The sequence below is a fragment of the Homo sapiens genome, chromosome 9, assembly GCF_000001405.40.
Source record: "Homo sapiens chromosome 9, GRCh38.p14 Primary Assembly".
In the NCBI taxonomy this organism is placed as follows: Eukaryota; Metazoa; Chordata; class Mammalia; order Primates; family Hominidae; genus Homo; species Homo sapiens.
This window is the reverse complement of record NC_000009.12, coordinates 80,132,836-80,148,304: the sequence shown is the minus strand read 5'-3', so window position 1 is coordinate 80,148,304 and position 15,469 is coordinate 80,132,836. Positions and strand designations below refer to the sequence as shown.

At 42.5% G+C, this 15,469-nt stretch overlaps 1 annotated feature.

Annotated features, from left to right (window-relative positions):
• Positions 5,075–5,886: an enhancer, noted in NCBI's record as "OCT4-NANOG hESC enhancer chr9:82757334-82758145 (GRCh37/hg19 assembly coordinates)". NCBI's record gives its function as "activates a minimal SCP1, AML or CMV promoter by ChIP-STARR-seq in naive and primed H9 embryonic stem cells {active_cell/tissue: H9 hESC(naive and primed)}" and the evidence as "EXISTENCE:reporter gene assay evidence [ECO:0000049][PMID:30033119]".

Sequence of the window (15,469 nt, the reverse complement as noted above, 5' to 3'; positions counted from 1 at the left end):
ATTATAGCACCTCTGTCTGTTAAGTAACGTCAACTTCCTTCCCATCACCTCCACACTTCTAATCCCCCTCCTCACAGCCCCCTTGCTGAATGAAAAGCAATGAAATTTTTTTGTTGGAAGCTTTGAATGAATAATTCATGTGGAAAAATCATCCGTGTTGTGCATGCTCAGAAGACAGAGCACTTCTCTTGTCAGTCACAATGGCTTGGGTAGGACTAAGTGCTGTTCTGTGTGTTCTTGGAGTGTGCAGCTGATGGCGGGCTGCTGAGATTGCCAACTGTGTTAATCCCGACCATCCTTCCTTGTCTTCTGTGACAGGAAGATTAAGAATTGGGGTCTTATTCAACTGTTGCAGTTAGACTGTATTTCACTTTGTTGTTTCAAGCCTTCTTTTAAGTTACTGACAGATTCTCATCATCCCTCAAACCCTGTGAAATCCTGACCTGGTGCAATTTACTCCTGGGCAGCATGGTTGAGAGAGTAAGGAGTATGGCTTTTCACATCAGAGAACCTTAGGTTTGGATTCTACAGCAGCTGTTTATTAACTTGGCAGCTTGGGCCAGTTGCATAAACTTGACCAGCCTCAACTCTCTTATCTGGATATGGAAGGAATTATTGCTACATAGCAGTTTGGGGTCGGGGGTGTGTGAATTTCATAAATAATTTTCTTTATGGAAGCACCCAGCACTCTGCCTGCAGGTTGGCAGGTTTCTAGTTAGTGTTCATGTCCTTTTAATTGATTTCTTCTTCACCGTTGTCCCCGTGATCTCTATCCTTTATTTTGTTAAAAATGTGTAAACTACTTAATGAACATACCATTTCTCTGCCTAACAAATAGAAAATTCAGTATTTTCCCTATTTGCATGAGATAAAGTCTACTCTCTCCAGCATGATCCCAGTGAGAGGCCCCCTCCCTTCCTGCCCACCCAATGGCCCAATGGCCCATCAACATGGAAATGTTCTTCACTTTTCCCAAATCATTTAAGTTCTGTTTCCAGGCCTGGCAGCTTCTGCTCTCATACATATCTAACCACAGGATAATTATCTGGCTATGTCTCCACCTCCCAATTGTACTGTGATCTATAAGGGGCATGTATGTGCTCTAATGTCTCATTGTTTGTCTTATAGAAAATGCCTCAAGAAATTTTTGGTGAATGAATGAGTGAGTAAATGAATAAATGAAATATTGAACATTTTTAAATACAGTATGGTAGAAATTTAAAAATGCTAAAATCATGGTGACATGGTGACAAACAGCAGAAAATGCCTACTGCACACTTTTTAGATCAGACATCTGTGAAACCAGTCTTTAAAATATGTTGATAAATGCTAGGTGCATTTTTCTTACTGTTTACATCTGTTCCCCACCTCTTTCCTCCCTGGTTGCTTTCTCCAACTTTTGCCCCCTTCCTTCTGCCTTCTGAAGAACATAGAACTAAGAGGGATGATTTGCAGAATCCCTCCAGAGGCTGGTAGCCTCAGCTGTGTTAAAGGGAACCTGGCCTGTTTTACTTGCTGGGTCTATAAAACATCCTCACAGATGATGTTAACAGGGAAAGAATCCTAGATCTGTTAACCATCTCCTTCCTGGCTCAGTGGAGGAGGCTCTGTTCTGCATTTTGTCTTGGAACTTACATTCTTTTTCTCCCCTAGGGGGCATGTGTTGTTGTAACTGGTACTGGCTAAAACTAATAGGCAGCAAGCCACATATCATAAAAAATCTTAAGGGATCTTTCTCCTGCAGTTTTTACGTGGTGTCCATTGATTTTTCAGGAAGTGTCTCATCACTTTTCCTGTCTTTCTCAGGAGAAAAATCTAGGATCCTAGAATAGAATATATTGTCTGATCAGTGTTTCCATGCTAACATTGGATACAATCATGAATAGGGTCTTTATATAAGAGGCCCTATGCCCTTGCTCAGAAAAACTCAAAGCTAATGATACCAACATTTTCTTAGAGGAAATATAACCTAGGAATTCATATGTGAACAAGATTGTCTTCTTTTAACTTGTACCTTAAAACAAAAAAATTAGACTAAGACTAAAAAGAGAATGCTATTTGAGATGAGCTATGGGTCATAATTTCCACTTATGGAAGTATGAGTGTGTGTATGTCTGATTGATATCTGCCACTATGGGGTGATAAGGGAGAAGCCCATATTTTAATTGGGAGATGCATATGGATGGTTTGATTTTCTTTTGAGTTACCAAGAATGATAGCAACAATGATAACCACCATTAATAGGCTACTCATTGTCACACTTTTCATCCAATATCTTATTTAATCAGCAAAACAACTTATAAAATAGAAATGATAACTGTATGCTAAAGCTGATGCTAAGGCTCTTGAGTGGCTTGCCAAATGTCACCTAATTAGTAAGAGGAAAAGAAGGGATTCAAACAGTCTAATTCCAAAATCTAACTTTTACCACTGCACAATACTACCTCCTGCCAGTTCAGCAATATGGTACTTCTACAGCTTACTTTTTCCAAATTGTTGACAGTATAATGCTATCATATGTAACAAATCAATAAGAACTCCTGGATACAATAGCTCAATGAAATCACTTTTTTATTAAATGGATTGTGTTAAGAAGGCAAAACCCTGGAACCCACCTAGACCTACTAGAGGCAGGACTCTGGAATCTCTACTACATTACCTCCTCAGTCAATTGTCATGTAGCCCACCTAGCAAGACTTTGTGGGTGCATGGTTGGGAATCATGTCTTAGAATCTAGGCATTTGGCCGGGGACTAGGTCTGTCACAAGAGGACCCGGCTTAGGAGTCACTCAATAAATAATTGTTGAACCTGCAATCTGTAGGGTGATATCCCCACATTACAGCACCGATGAGAACTATTTTCCCTCTAATATTTTGCAAAGGGAAATCCACTCAGTGCCACAATGCAGCTCAGCCTCTAGGGTTTGGGGGAGATGCTCAGGCTGCAACAGTGGAGTCTCTCAGCCGTTTTGCATCAAACAGAAATACTACACTCAAAGTAGACATTTTCCTTCCTAGGACAGTAGCTGCCCCTATCATTAAAGTTTATAGGTATTTGTATATGTCATTACTGTTACCAGTTTTTCCTGAGTCCTGGGGAGAGTCCAGCTGAATGCCTGTAAAATACAGCAAGTTCCTAAGAGAAAGATGCTCTCTAAAGGTATAGTATTACTATAAATTTCAACTACTTCCCCAAGCTTGAAAATGCTGTCCTGGAGAGAATGATCACTTAACAATCATTGACTCATTTCCCAAGCTCGTAGGAAACCAGCCTAACTCCCAGGCATGGTAAATGTAAAGGAATGGGGTAACTGGGGCACAGGGCAGAGAAAATACTAGCCAAAGGGACACTAATCTATTTACCAAATCTGTGTCAGTCATAAATACGGGCTTATAATGACCTGGTGTAATGATAACAAAAAAATGGACTTAAGAAACTCCATTACCTATTTATAAGTGGAAATCCATCGTCTTAAAATAGTGTATTTTCTGGTTTTCTTATTGCTGCTCACAATTTAGCGTGCGGCAGTATCAGGGAGACTGAGTCTCTTCTTTAGCCCTGGAGAAGTGTGTCACCCCAATCTCCATAAGATTTTCACAGTGGCTATTTGAACAAGGATAGTTCCCTTGGAGTTAATCTTTTAAACTCAAGGCAAAAATCCCTTGAGCTCATCTCATATATATGAGGTTAAACATCTCTGAACTGTTCATAATCTTGGAGAACTGCCATCTTTTGGCCTGCAGATAAATACAACACTTCACCAGTTTCTGGGTATCTTAAACCCACTTGGGTTGTGATAACAAAGTAAAAACCACTGTTCTAGAGAGAAATGGATATATTTATAGACCAACAAAGGGAGTGTAAATCATACAACCATTTTTAAAAGTAATGATGCAATATGATCCTAAGACGCGGAAATATTACTAACATAGATTACATGCATTTACATTAGACATATACGTATCTACGTGAATATTATAAATAAATGGTATATAATGTTTGAAACATACAAACATTATACAAATATACCTAATGCATTTATATTATTCTACTGGTGACCTTGTCCTGTCCCATGAATTCTGTGTTGACCACTGTCAGAACTCTCTCCTTTCTCTCTGTTCCAATAGAGACCTGCCTTCTCAAGCCCTCTTAGATGACTTACTAGGCATCTCAAAGTAAACTCTTGACCCTCTCTGCCAAACTTGGTCATCTCACAATCTTCCTCACCTCAAACGGAAACTCTTTTCAATCATTTACTCAAGGCAAAAAGCTTAAGATTCTTGCTGATTCCTCTTTTCTTTTTTTTTAAGGTAAGGTCTCACTCTGCCACCCAGGCTTAAGGGCAGTGGCATGATCACGGCTCACTGCAACCTCGACCTCCCAGGCTCACATGATCCTCCCACCTCAGACTCCAGAGTAGCTGGGACCATAGGTGTGCACCACCGCATCTGGCTAATTTTTTTTTTTTTTTTTTTTTTTTTGTATTTTTTGCAGAGACAGAGTGTTGTCATGTTCCCCAGGCTGGTCACCAGCTCCTGAGATCAAACGATCTGCGTGCCTCAGCCTCCCAAAGTGCTGGGATTACAGGCATGAGCCACCTTATCCGACCAACTTCTCTTTTTTCTACAGCAACCAAGACATTTCATTGTCCGTATACTCAAAATAGATCAAGAACCCAGACACACTTTATACTTCTATCGCCCCCACTCTTCAAAACACCCCACCTTGGAGATCAGAAGGGAGATCTGCCTTGAGTTACCCGCAAATTATGGAGTCACCAGCAAATTGATACATTTGATTGCCTTGGGAATAGAGGAGATCTGTTAAAGAGGAAGTGAGGAGAGAGAAAAGAATAAAACTCAAGAAAAAGCTGTGAGGAACTTTCACATTAGATCTCTGATATGGAAGGTGGAAATTTAAAAGAGTTAGAGGCCCTTGCTTTGTTAGAGGTGAGACTATGTTAGATCAGCACTGGACGCAAAGCTGCATATGCTCTAGGGGAAACAGCCACATAATCCCCCTAAAGGCTGTCCTGGAAATGTCCTAACTGTCACACAAACAGTCACTTGAGTCTAGGACCACTGCAAGGGAGAAATTTAGCCTCACAGAAAGTTATTCAGCTCCGTCTTTCACCCTAGATGCAGTAGGGCCAGTTTCATGCGTGTCCGTGTGAAGAGACCACCAAACAGGCTTTGTGTGAGCAATAAAGCTTTGGTGCAGGTGGGCTGAGTCTGAAAAGAGAGTCAGCGAAGGGAGATAGGGGTGGGACCGTTTTATAGGATTTGGGTAGGTAAAGAAAAATTACACTCAAAGGGGGGTTCTCTGGTGGGCAGCAGTGGGGGTCGCAAGGTGCTCAGTGGGGGGAGCTTTTTGAGCCAGGATGAGCCAGGAAAAGGACTTTCACAAGGTAATGTCAACACTTAAGGCAAGGACCGGCCATTTACACTTCTTTTGTGGTGGAATGTCATCAGTTAAGGTGGGGCAAGGCATATTCACTTCTTTTGTGATACTTCAGTTACTTCAGGCCATCTGGGCGTATACGTGCAAGTCACAGGGGATGCGATGGCTTGGCTTGGGCTCAGAGGCCTGACATTCCTGCCTTCTTATATTAATAAGAAAAATAAAATAAAATAGTGTTGAAGTGTTGGGGCAGCAAAAATTTTTGGGGGGTGGTATGGAGAGAGAATGGGCGATGTTTCTCAGGGCTGCTTCAAGCGGGATTGGGGCAGCGTGGGAACTTAGAGTGGGACAGATTAAGCTGAAGGGAGGTCTTGTGGTAAGGGGTGATATTGTGGGGGTGTTAGAAGAAACATTTGTTGTATAGAATGATTGGTGATGGCCTAGATACGGTTTTGGATGAATTGAGAAACTAAATGGAATAACAGAAGGAGAAAAACAGGTATAAAAGGTCTAAGAATTGGGACGACTCAGGATATCTGATTAGAGAGTGCCTAAGGAGATTCAGCATAGTCCTGCCAGCAAAGATTATTTATTTACTTCAAGAGTTAAGAGTGGCAGTTTGGGAATAGCACCAGGAGATATCAGCTGTGATGGCTTGGAAAAACAGTGTAAACCAGCAATGTAAACAAGAGCAGGGCATGTATGAGTAGTTGAGAACGGTGACTAGGAGTATGACTAGACAGAAGACAGTAGGGATGACAAGTTTTTTGGGGCATAGTCTAAGTTGGTCTGGTGTCTGGAATGAGACTGGGGCCTAATAAAAAGGAGCGTCTATACAGGAGCTTAAATGGGCTGTACCCTGTAGCATTCCGAGGACAGGCCTGAATTCTGAGAAGGGAAAGTGGTAAAAGTATTGTCCAGTCCTTTTTAAGTTGGTGGCTGAGCTTGGTGAGGTGTGTTTTTAAAAGACCTTTAGTCCATTCTACTTTTCTTGAAGGCGGAGGACCGTAAGGGATATAAAGGTTTCACTGAATACTAAGAGCCTGAAAAACTGCTTGGCTGATTTGACTAATAAAGGCTCGTCTGTTATCAGACTGTATTGAGGTGGGAAGGCTAAACTGAGGAATTATGTCTGACAGAAGGGAAGAAATGACTGCGGTGGCCTTCTCAGACCCTGTAGGAAAGGCCTCTACCTATCCAGTGAAAGTACCTACCTAGACTAAGAGGTATTTTAGTTATCTCACTCAGGGCATGTTGAGTAAAGCTAATTTGCCAGTCCTGGGTGGGGCAAATCCTTGAGCTTCATGTGTAGGGAAGGGAGGGGGCCTGAATAATCCCTGATGAGCAGTAGAATAGCAGATGGAATACTGAGAAGTTATTTCCTTGAGGATAGATTTCCACGATGGAAAGGAAATGAGAGGTTCTAAGAGGCGGGCTAGTGGCTTGTACTATAGTATAACCTGCCTTTGCTGGTGTGTGGCAATTAGGCCTGGTGGAACCGCCATCAATAAATCAAGCGTGATCAGGGTGAGGAACAGGAAAAAAGGAAATTTGGGGAAATGGGGTGAATGTCAGGTGGATCAGAGAGATACAGTCATGGGGGTCAGGTGTGGTATCAGGAATAATGTGGGAGGCCGGATTGAAGTCTGGGCCAGGAACAATGGTAATTGTGGGAGACTCAACAAAGAGTGAGTACAGCTGAAGGAGCCGGGGAGCAGAAAGTATATGTATCAGGTATGAGGAAGAAAATAGATTTTGGAAGTTATGAGAACTGTAGAAAGTGAGTTGAGCATAGTTTGTGATTTTGAGGGCCTCTAAAAGTATTAAAGCAGCGGCAGCCACTGCACGCAGACATGAGGGCTAGGCTAAAACAGTAAGGTCAAGTTGTTTGGACAGAAAGGCTACAGGGTGTGGTCCTGGCTCTTGTGTAAGAATTCTGACCGTGCTAACCATGCCTAGGAAGGAAAGGAGTTGTTGTTTTGTAGAAGGTGCTTGGGTTTGAGAGATCAGTCGGACATGATTGGCAGGGAGAGCACGTGTGTTTTTATGAGAATTATGCCGAGACATGTAACAGATGAGGAAGAAATTTGGGCTTGATTGAAGTAATGGGGGCTGTCTGTGAAGCTTTGCGGCAGTACAGCCTAGGTAATTTGCTGAGCTTGATGGGTGTCAGGGTCAGTCCAAGTGAAAGCGAAGAGAGGCTGGGATTAAGGGTGCAAAGGAATAGTAAAGAAAGCATGTTTGAGATCTAGAACAGAATAATGGGTTGTAGAGGCAGGTACTGAGGATAGGAGAGTATATGGGTTTGGCACCACGGGGTGGATAGGCAAAACGATTTGGTTGATAAGGTGCAGATCCTGAACTAACTTGTAAGGCTTGTCTGGTTTTAGGAGAGGTAAAATGGGGGAATTGTAAGGAGAGTTTATAGGCTTTAAAAGGCCATGCTGTAGCAGGCGAGTGATAACAGGATTTAATCTTTTTAAAGCATGCTGTGGGATGGGATATTGGCGTTGAGTGGGGTAAGGGTGATTAGGTTTTAATGAGATGGTAAGGGGTGCATGATCGGTCACCAAGGAGGGAGTAGAGGTATCTTATACTTGTGGGTTAAGGTGGGGGGGATACAAGAGGAGGATGCAAAGGAGGCTTTGGGTTGGGAAGAAGGGCGGCAATGAGATATAGCTGTAGTCCAGGGATAGTCAGGGAAGCAGATAATTTAGGTAAAGTGTCTCAGCCTAATAAGGGAACTGGGCAGGTGGGGAAAACTAAAAAGGAGTGCTTAAAAGAGTATTGTCTAAGTTGGCAGCAGAGTTGGGGAGTTTTAAGAGGTTTAGAAGCCTGGCCGTCAATATCCACAACAGTTATGGAGGCAAGGGAAACAGGCCCTTGAAAAGAAGGTAATGTGGAGTGGGTAGCCTCCGTATTGATTAAGAAGGGGACGGACTTACCCTCCACTGTGAGAGTTACCTAAAGCTCGGCGTCCGTGATGGTCTAGGGGGCTTCCGAGGCGATCGGGCAGTCAGTCTTTAGCCGCTAAGCCGAGAAGATCTGGGAAGGAGTCAGTCAGAGAGCCTTGGGCCAGAGTTCCAGGGGCTCTGGGAGTGGCTGCCAGGTGAGTTGAACAGTCCAATTTTCAGTGGGGTCCCACACAGATGGGACGTGGCTTAGGAGGAATCCCGGGCTGCGGGCATTCCTTGGCCCAGTGGCCAGATTTCCAGCACATGTAGCAAGCTCCTGGGGGAGGAGGTTCTGGAGGAATGCCTGGCCGCTGTGCAGTTTAGGCGTTTGGAAGTTCTTGTGTGCTGGAGATGTGGCTGGGGTTTGTCTCACAGTGGAGGCAAGGAATTGCAACTTTTTTCTATTATTGTACACCTTGAAGGCGAGGTTAATTAAATCCTGTTGTGGGGTTTGAGGGCCGGAATTTAATTTTTGGAGTTTTATTTAATGTCGGGAGCAGATTGGGTAATAAAATGTATTTTGAGAATAAGACTGCCTTTTGACCTTTTAGGTTCTAGGGCTGTAAAGTGTCTCAGGGTTGCTGCCAAACAAGTCATGAACTGGGCTGGATTTTTATATTTGATGAAAAAGAGCCTAAACGCTATCTGATTTGGGATAAAGAAAAAGGAGCATCAACCTTGACTATGCCTTTAGCTCCAGCCACCTTTTTAAGAGTAAATTGCTGGGCAGGAGGGGGAGGGCTAGTCACAGAAGGAATCTGTAAGCCAGACCAGGTGTGAGGAGGGGAGGTGATAAAAAGATTATAGGGTGGAGGAGCAGAGGCTGAGGAAGAATTGGGACCTAGCTCGGCCTGGCGAGGAGCAGCCTGGGGAGGAAGAGAGAGGTCAGATGGGTCTGTAGAAAATGAAGATTAGAAAGACTCAGCGATGCTTGGGGTTGGTACTGAGGGGACAGGCGGGAGGGAAAGAAGGAAGATTTGGGACGAGTTGCACTGGGCAAAGGGACTGATGTGTAAAATAATGCCTCGACGTCAGGCACCTCAGACCATTTGCCTATTTTACGACAAGAATTATTTAGATCTTACAGGATGGAAAAATTCAAAGTGCCATTTTCTGGCTATTTGGAACTACTGTCGAGTTTGTATTGGGGTCAAGCGGCATTGCAGAAGAAAATAAGACATTTAGGTTTTAGGTCAGGTGTGAGTTGAAGAGGTTTTAAGTTTTTGAGAACACAGGCCAAGGGAGTAGAAGGAGGAATGGAGGGTGGAAGGTTGCCCATAGTGAAGGAAGCAAGCCTAGAGAAAAGAGAGTAGAGAAATGGAGGGAAGGGGTTCAGGGGTTCTTACCTTCCAGAAAAGTGGGAAAAGGGGTTGGGGCACAGAGATAAGAGGTCAGGGCATGGAAATAAGGGATGGGGCACAGAAATAAGGGGTTGGGGCACAGAAAGAAGGGGTAGGAGCATGGAAATAAGGGGTCGGGGCATGGAAATAAGAGATTGGGGCGCAGAGATAAGAGGTCAGGGTGCGGAAATAAGGGATTGGAGTGCAGAGATACAAGAGGTTGGGGCACAGAAATAAGGGATTGGGGTGCAGAGATATGAGGTTGGGGTACTTGCCCCTCCTCTAGAAAAGCGGGACTTGCCGCTAAGAGTGAAGGAGAAGAGGTTGAGTGGTACTTGCCCCTCCCCCAGAAAAGCAGAGAAGGGGTAGAGACAAGGAGAGAAGAGGTGGGGGTACTTGCCCCTTTCCCAGAAAAGCGGGACTTGCCGCTAAGGGTGAAGGACCAAGGCAGGCGTCCCTGCATGGTCTGACACCTTTGAAACGTGGGTGAATAATCAGAGAGGTGTCCCTGCAATGATTAAACACCAAGGGAAGCTGCCTTCCCAGTTCGTGACCGGTGCCGCAGTTTTGGGTCCACGGATAAAACATGTCTCCTTTATCTCTCCCAGAAAATGAAAGGAATTGAAATTAAGAGAAGGGAGAGATTGAAGAGTGGAAAGGAGAAAGTGGTTGAGGGAAAGTGAGAGAGGCTGGAGAAGAGAGTGAGAAGAGGCCACTTACCTGATTTAAAATTGGTGAGATGTTCCTTGGGCTGGTCGGTCTGAGGACCTGAGGTCATAGGTGGATCTTTCTCATGGAGCAAAGAACAGGAGGACAGGGGATTGATCTCCCAAGGGAGGTCCCCCGATCTGAGTCACGGCACCAAATTTCATGCGCGTCCATGTGAAGAGACCACCAAACAGGCTTTGTGTGAGCAATAAAGCTTTTAATCACCTGGGTGCAGGTGGGCTGAGTCTGAAAAGAGAGTCTGAAGGGAGATAGGGGTGGGGCCGTTTTATAGGATTTGGGTAGGTAAAGGAAAATTACAGTCAAAGGGGGGTTGTTCTCTGGCGGGCAGGAGTGGGGGTTGCAAGGTGCTCAGTGGGGGTGCTTTTTGAGCCAGGATGAGCCAGGAAAAGGACTTTCACAAGGTAATGTCATCAGTTAAGGCAAGGACCGGCCACTTACACTTCTTTTGTGGTGGAATGTCATCAGTTAAGGTGGGGCAGGGCATATTCACTTCTTTTGTGATTCTTTAGTTACTTCAGGCCATCTGGACATATACGTGCAAGTCACAGGGGATGCGATGGCTTGGCTTGGGCTCAGAGGCCTGACAGCCAGGTCATGTGTTTTTCATAGAATAAAAGGAAGAGAAGCAGTCAAACTGGCTCCAATTTCAGCAGGATGTGGGAAAACTACAATCCAGGGTCACTTAGGCGTCTCAGTTGCACCCCAGGGCAACAGCCTCCCCACAACGGCCATCACACAACCCAAGTTCCTGTTGGATGGGCCAGGCTGCACCAGTCATTTAATTTAACGGAGGCTGGGATGGAATAAAAAATGATGGAGTTCCTGAGATAAAATTATTGTGAGTGATGTCCCATGGGGAGGCTGGGGAGACTCAGAACAACCATCACCACCAAGCTGCAATCCTGCAACACCCTGGATTCTCTAGGCGCATATACTAGGAGGAAGAATCTCCAGAGGAAACGACCCCAAAGGCGCTGGTGGATGAAGGGAAGAAGAGGGAGACAGGAGCCTGCAAGGAGCTGAGTAGTGGTGGTTTCAGGAGTAGGAAGACAAAACAATAGATCACCAGATTCCAAAGCAGAGAGAACAGGGAACTGTAGAATAAAACCCTGTTTCTACTTACCCCCCATCCACAGCAGAGGTTCCTGGAGGAAATTATTTAGAAATAGAGTCCTAGGGACAACTGGATTTCCTCTCATCAAAAGAGTAAAAGATTCTGACGTCCATTTAGACTTGAAATGTTCTGATAAATGTAAATCTTGGGATATATCTATCACCTCTCTTTTCTAAATTGTCTTTAATAAGCATGAACCACTTTTAATTTTTTAAATCAATACAAAATAAAAGGAAATGACTGTGGTTGCTGCACTCATTTTTTTTCTCTATGTTTCTAAAAGATTTACTCACAGTCATATTACAAACTTCATGTGGTGTAGTTGGCAACTATCTCATTTCATTGACTGAAAAATGGAGTACTGCAGAGATTAATAAACCTTTTAAAGGTCAAAATTCTAAACCTGTGTGTTATTTTTCCCTAAGTACAAATTCCTGATCCTAACATGTTCGAGCAGTTGTCAAGTCCTAATTCTGCTTTGTCCCAGATTCTAGTTGCGAAGGGCTGAACCAGGTGATTTGAGACTAATTATTCAAATATTAAAAATCGCATCTGCCTTTACTTCTGTTAAGATGCAGTTGACTGCAATTATTTTCCTTTCTTCTGCCTTAAGGCTTCTCTGCACCCCATGTTCACCTGGCTCTTTCTTTAGAAGATACATCAGATGGGATCTCTCTTTTCCTAGATTCCTTGAGTGGGAGCATTCTTTTTTGTCAATAAATACTTCAGGGATAACATGAGAAATAAAATTCTATAACAAAATCACAGATTCTAGTGCTATTGGGGGTTCATTTACATAAGTAACATCTATCTATGTTGCTTAAATTTCATATTTCACTTGCAATTAATATTAGTAAATATTGCTAAAATACCAATGTTTTGTTTTTAGTTGCCATCTACTTTCCTTCCAAGTATGATGTAGGCACAGGAAAAGCAGAAAAAGAAAGAAAACAAATTGCAAACATTAAATACTAAACTGTCAGTTACTACACAGTTTTATGATAATTCCAGGGAACAAAATATATATTTATGTGTTTCTTTTTCCCATACCCTTTCTTTTATTAAATTATGCCCACCAAGTGCCAGTAATTACTCTTTTCGTCAGAATCAGGGAAACAAAATTATGCTATTAAGAGCCAAGAGGCAAGAAATGTTTTTGGAAAACATTAAATGAATGTGGTTGCCTATTGAGTTATGGTTTTACCAGATAAATGACTCTTTTGACCAATTCTCAAGTGTAAGCCTGAAACAAATAAGCATTATTGCTCAAGCTTCTGGCTTGGGAAAAACATATGCACAATTTCATCTACTATAAACCCGTATTGAGTGCGTGTGCAAACAATCTTCACTTAATCTGAGGGAGAGGCCAATGAAGGAAGGACCAATAGCTAGCATGAAAGAGCAGGTTGATAATAGCTTAACAGGGAAGGAAAAGAACAAATTCAGTAAAGTCAGTTCTGTTACTTCATAGTAAGACTGGCCAGAGGCAGGGATAGCAGAGTCTGCCAAACACAGAAGAATCAAAGTTTAATAAGCGTTGAAAGTCAAAGCAAGGTTTGGCAGTCATTTAATTTAATTATCTTCCATTTCTGCAGAGAGGAATCTCATCTCTGGAGAAGTAATGTGGCTTGCTCAAAATTAGACAACTGGTAAGTGAAAGGGTTTCTGCTTCTACTGAAAGTTCTTTTCGCTCTTCTCCCAACTGACTCTCTTTGAGGAGGATGCGAATGCTAATGAAATTCACCTGGAGCCTAGTTTGTTTGGCTTTGATATGGGAATTAATACAGACATTTGGGAACAATAGACTTTGTTGACAAGGACTGAAACTTTGGTTTGAGCAGAAATAAGTTTGGAGATATCAAATACTCTATAACCAGATCAAGCTAATGTGGGTGGGGAGGGTGGGGAAGACAGGAGTTAGATACTCATACAGAAACAAAGCACAGGGTTGAATATCAGGAAGTTATGGTTGTTTGTCAGGAAAGTCTAAAAGAAGATCTAAGGACGATAGCTTTGCATGTCAGGCACATCTCTGTAAGAGCTGAAAGTTAGGGGGGAAAGGGCGGGTTTCATTGACAGGGTTCATTGATCCCTGTCACAAGGGCAGGTGGGGACTTCCCAAGCATTCTTACCTGAGAAGTTCTCCACTTCCCCTAGGTCTTAAAAGTACTCTGTGTTCTGAACAGGGCTTTCCACTGCAGTCTAAAATTTTTTATTCACTACCAGAAGGCAACATTCAACACATTCAAACTATCAAGAAAAAATATAAATTTAATTTACAAAACTTTCTAGGCATGTGAAGTCTTCTCCTTTTTCTTATCCTCAATCAGCCTATTTCTGTATATAACTTTCATTATGTTCTAAGTTTATTAAACCAATGTCCTTTTAAAACAATTTTATGCCAATTAATAATAAGTTTTTATCACGTAGTTGATGCCTTTTAATCAGTTGGGTCAGCAGAAACACTGACTTCAACATTTCTCATTAAAATAGTAACCATTCTAAATCAGCAATAGTTTCAGAAATGTCAGACGGGCAGAAAGTAGGATAAAGATCCCTAATGGCAACATAATCCCCAGTGTCTTCACCACACCTTAACCCTTGAGATCAAAGTTAAATTATATCAGTTAAAGCTTACTAATTCAGTGAGAAGCATGGGGCTTCACTTTTTCACAGAAATGATACCTGGTTCAAATCATCTAATGTGACTTTTTTTTTTTTTTTTTCTGAGACCGAATTTCACTCTTCTTACCCAGGCTGGAGTTCAATGGCATGTTCTCGGCTCACCACAACCTCCGCCTCCCGGGTTCAAGCGATTGTCCCACCTCAGCCTCCCGAGTAGCTGGGATTACAGGCATGTGCCACCACGCCTGTCTAATTTTGTATTTTTAGTAGAAACGGGGTTTCTCCATGTCGGTCAGGGTGGTTTCCAACTCCCGACCGACCTCAGGTGATCCGCCCGCCTTGGCCTCCCAAAGTGTTGGGATTACAGGCGGGAGCCACCACGCCCAGCCTTAAAGTGGCTTTTTAATTTTAACCTCATGTGTTTTTCAAGCTTCCAGAACAGAGAATTCTGCTTGAATAGTAAGCTTAAATATTTGGTGGCAATGCCTGTGATTCATTGTGTTCTTGAACTCTAACTCATTACCAATGGTGTTTTATCCAAGTTACAGGAAAAGACTAGGCAATTAATTTTGATGCCATTGAAAAAGCCTTTTACATACTCTTGCATGCTGGATACTGCCGGTTTAGTGCAAATCCATTATCCCTTAACCACAAATGCAAAAAACAGAAAGTCTAAAAATTAAAAATGTTTTATTTTTTACAATTAGCACCATATTTATTTAGTGGGAAAATCTAACGAACTGATATGAGACTATTTGCAATCGATTTATCTCCCTTAGTGTAAATATTGATTATTTTTATTATAGAAATCTTAATGTATTTTATAAAGGGGAGTTGCCCTAGACACTACTGAAGGCTGTTACATAATATAAAATGTTTGTGTGTGTGCATGTGTGTGTGTGTATGTGCACGCACATGAGCACAGACTGTATTACCTTGGAAAATATGAAAAGAAAATGAATTTCAAAACATAGCCAGCCGAATCAGTTTTAAATAAGGATGAACCCCAAAAAAGTAAAATGTGGATATTTTCTAAGACTGCAGAAAGTGATTTTCAAAAATTGCCTCTGCTTAAGTAAGCAGTTCTTATTGTCGTTGCTCATTCATTCACACTCTTTCCCCCTGGAAGATTTTGTTTGGGTTTTTATTTTATGCTATTTTTATTTTTACTTCAGTCTTCAGTTTGCATACTTATAAAAAAATCAGCAGAAGGAGAGCACTAGAATCTATAACACAACAAATCCACAGTGGACAGTGGCCACACAGCCTTTCTGATGCTATTAGGACAATGCCTCATAGTGGTTTA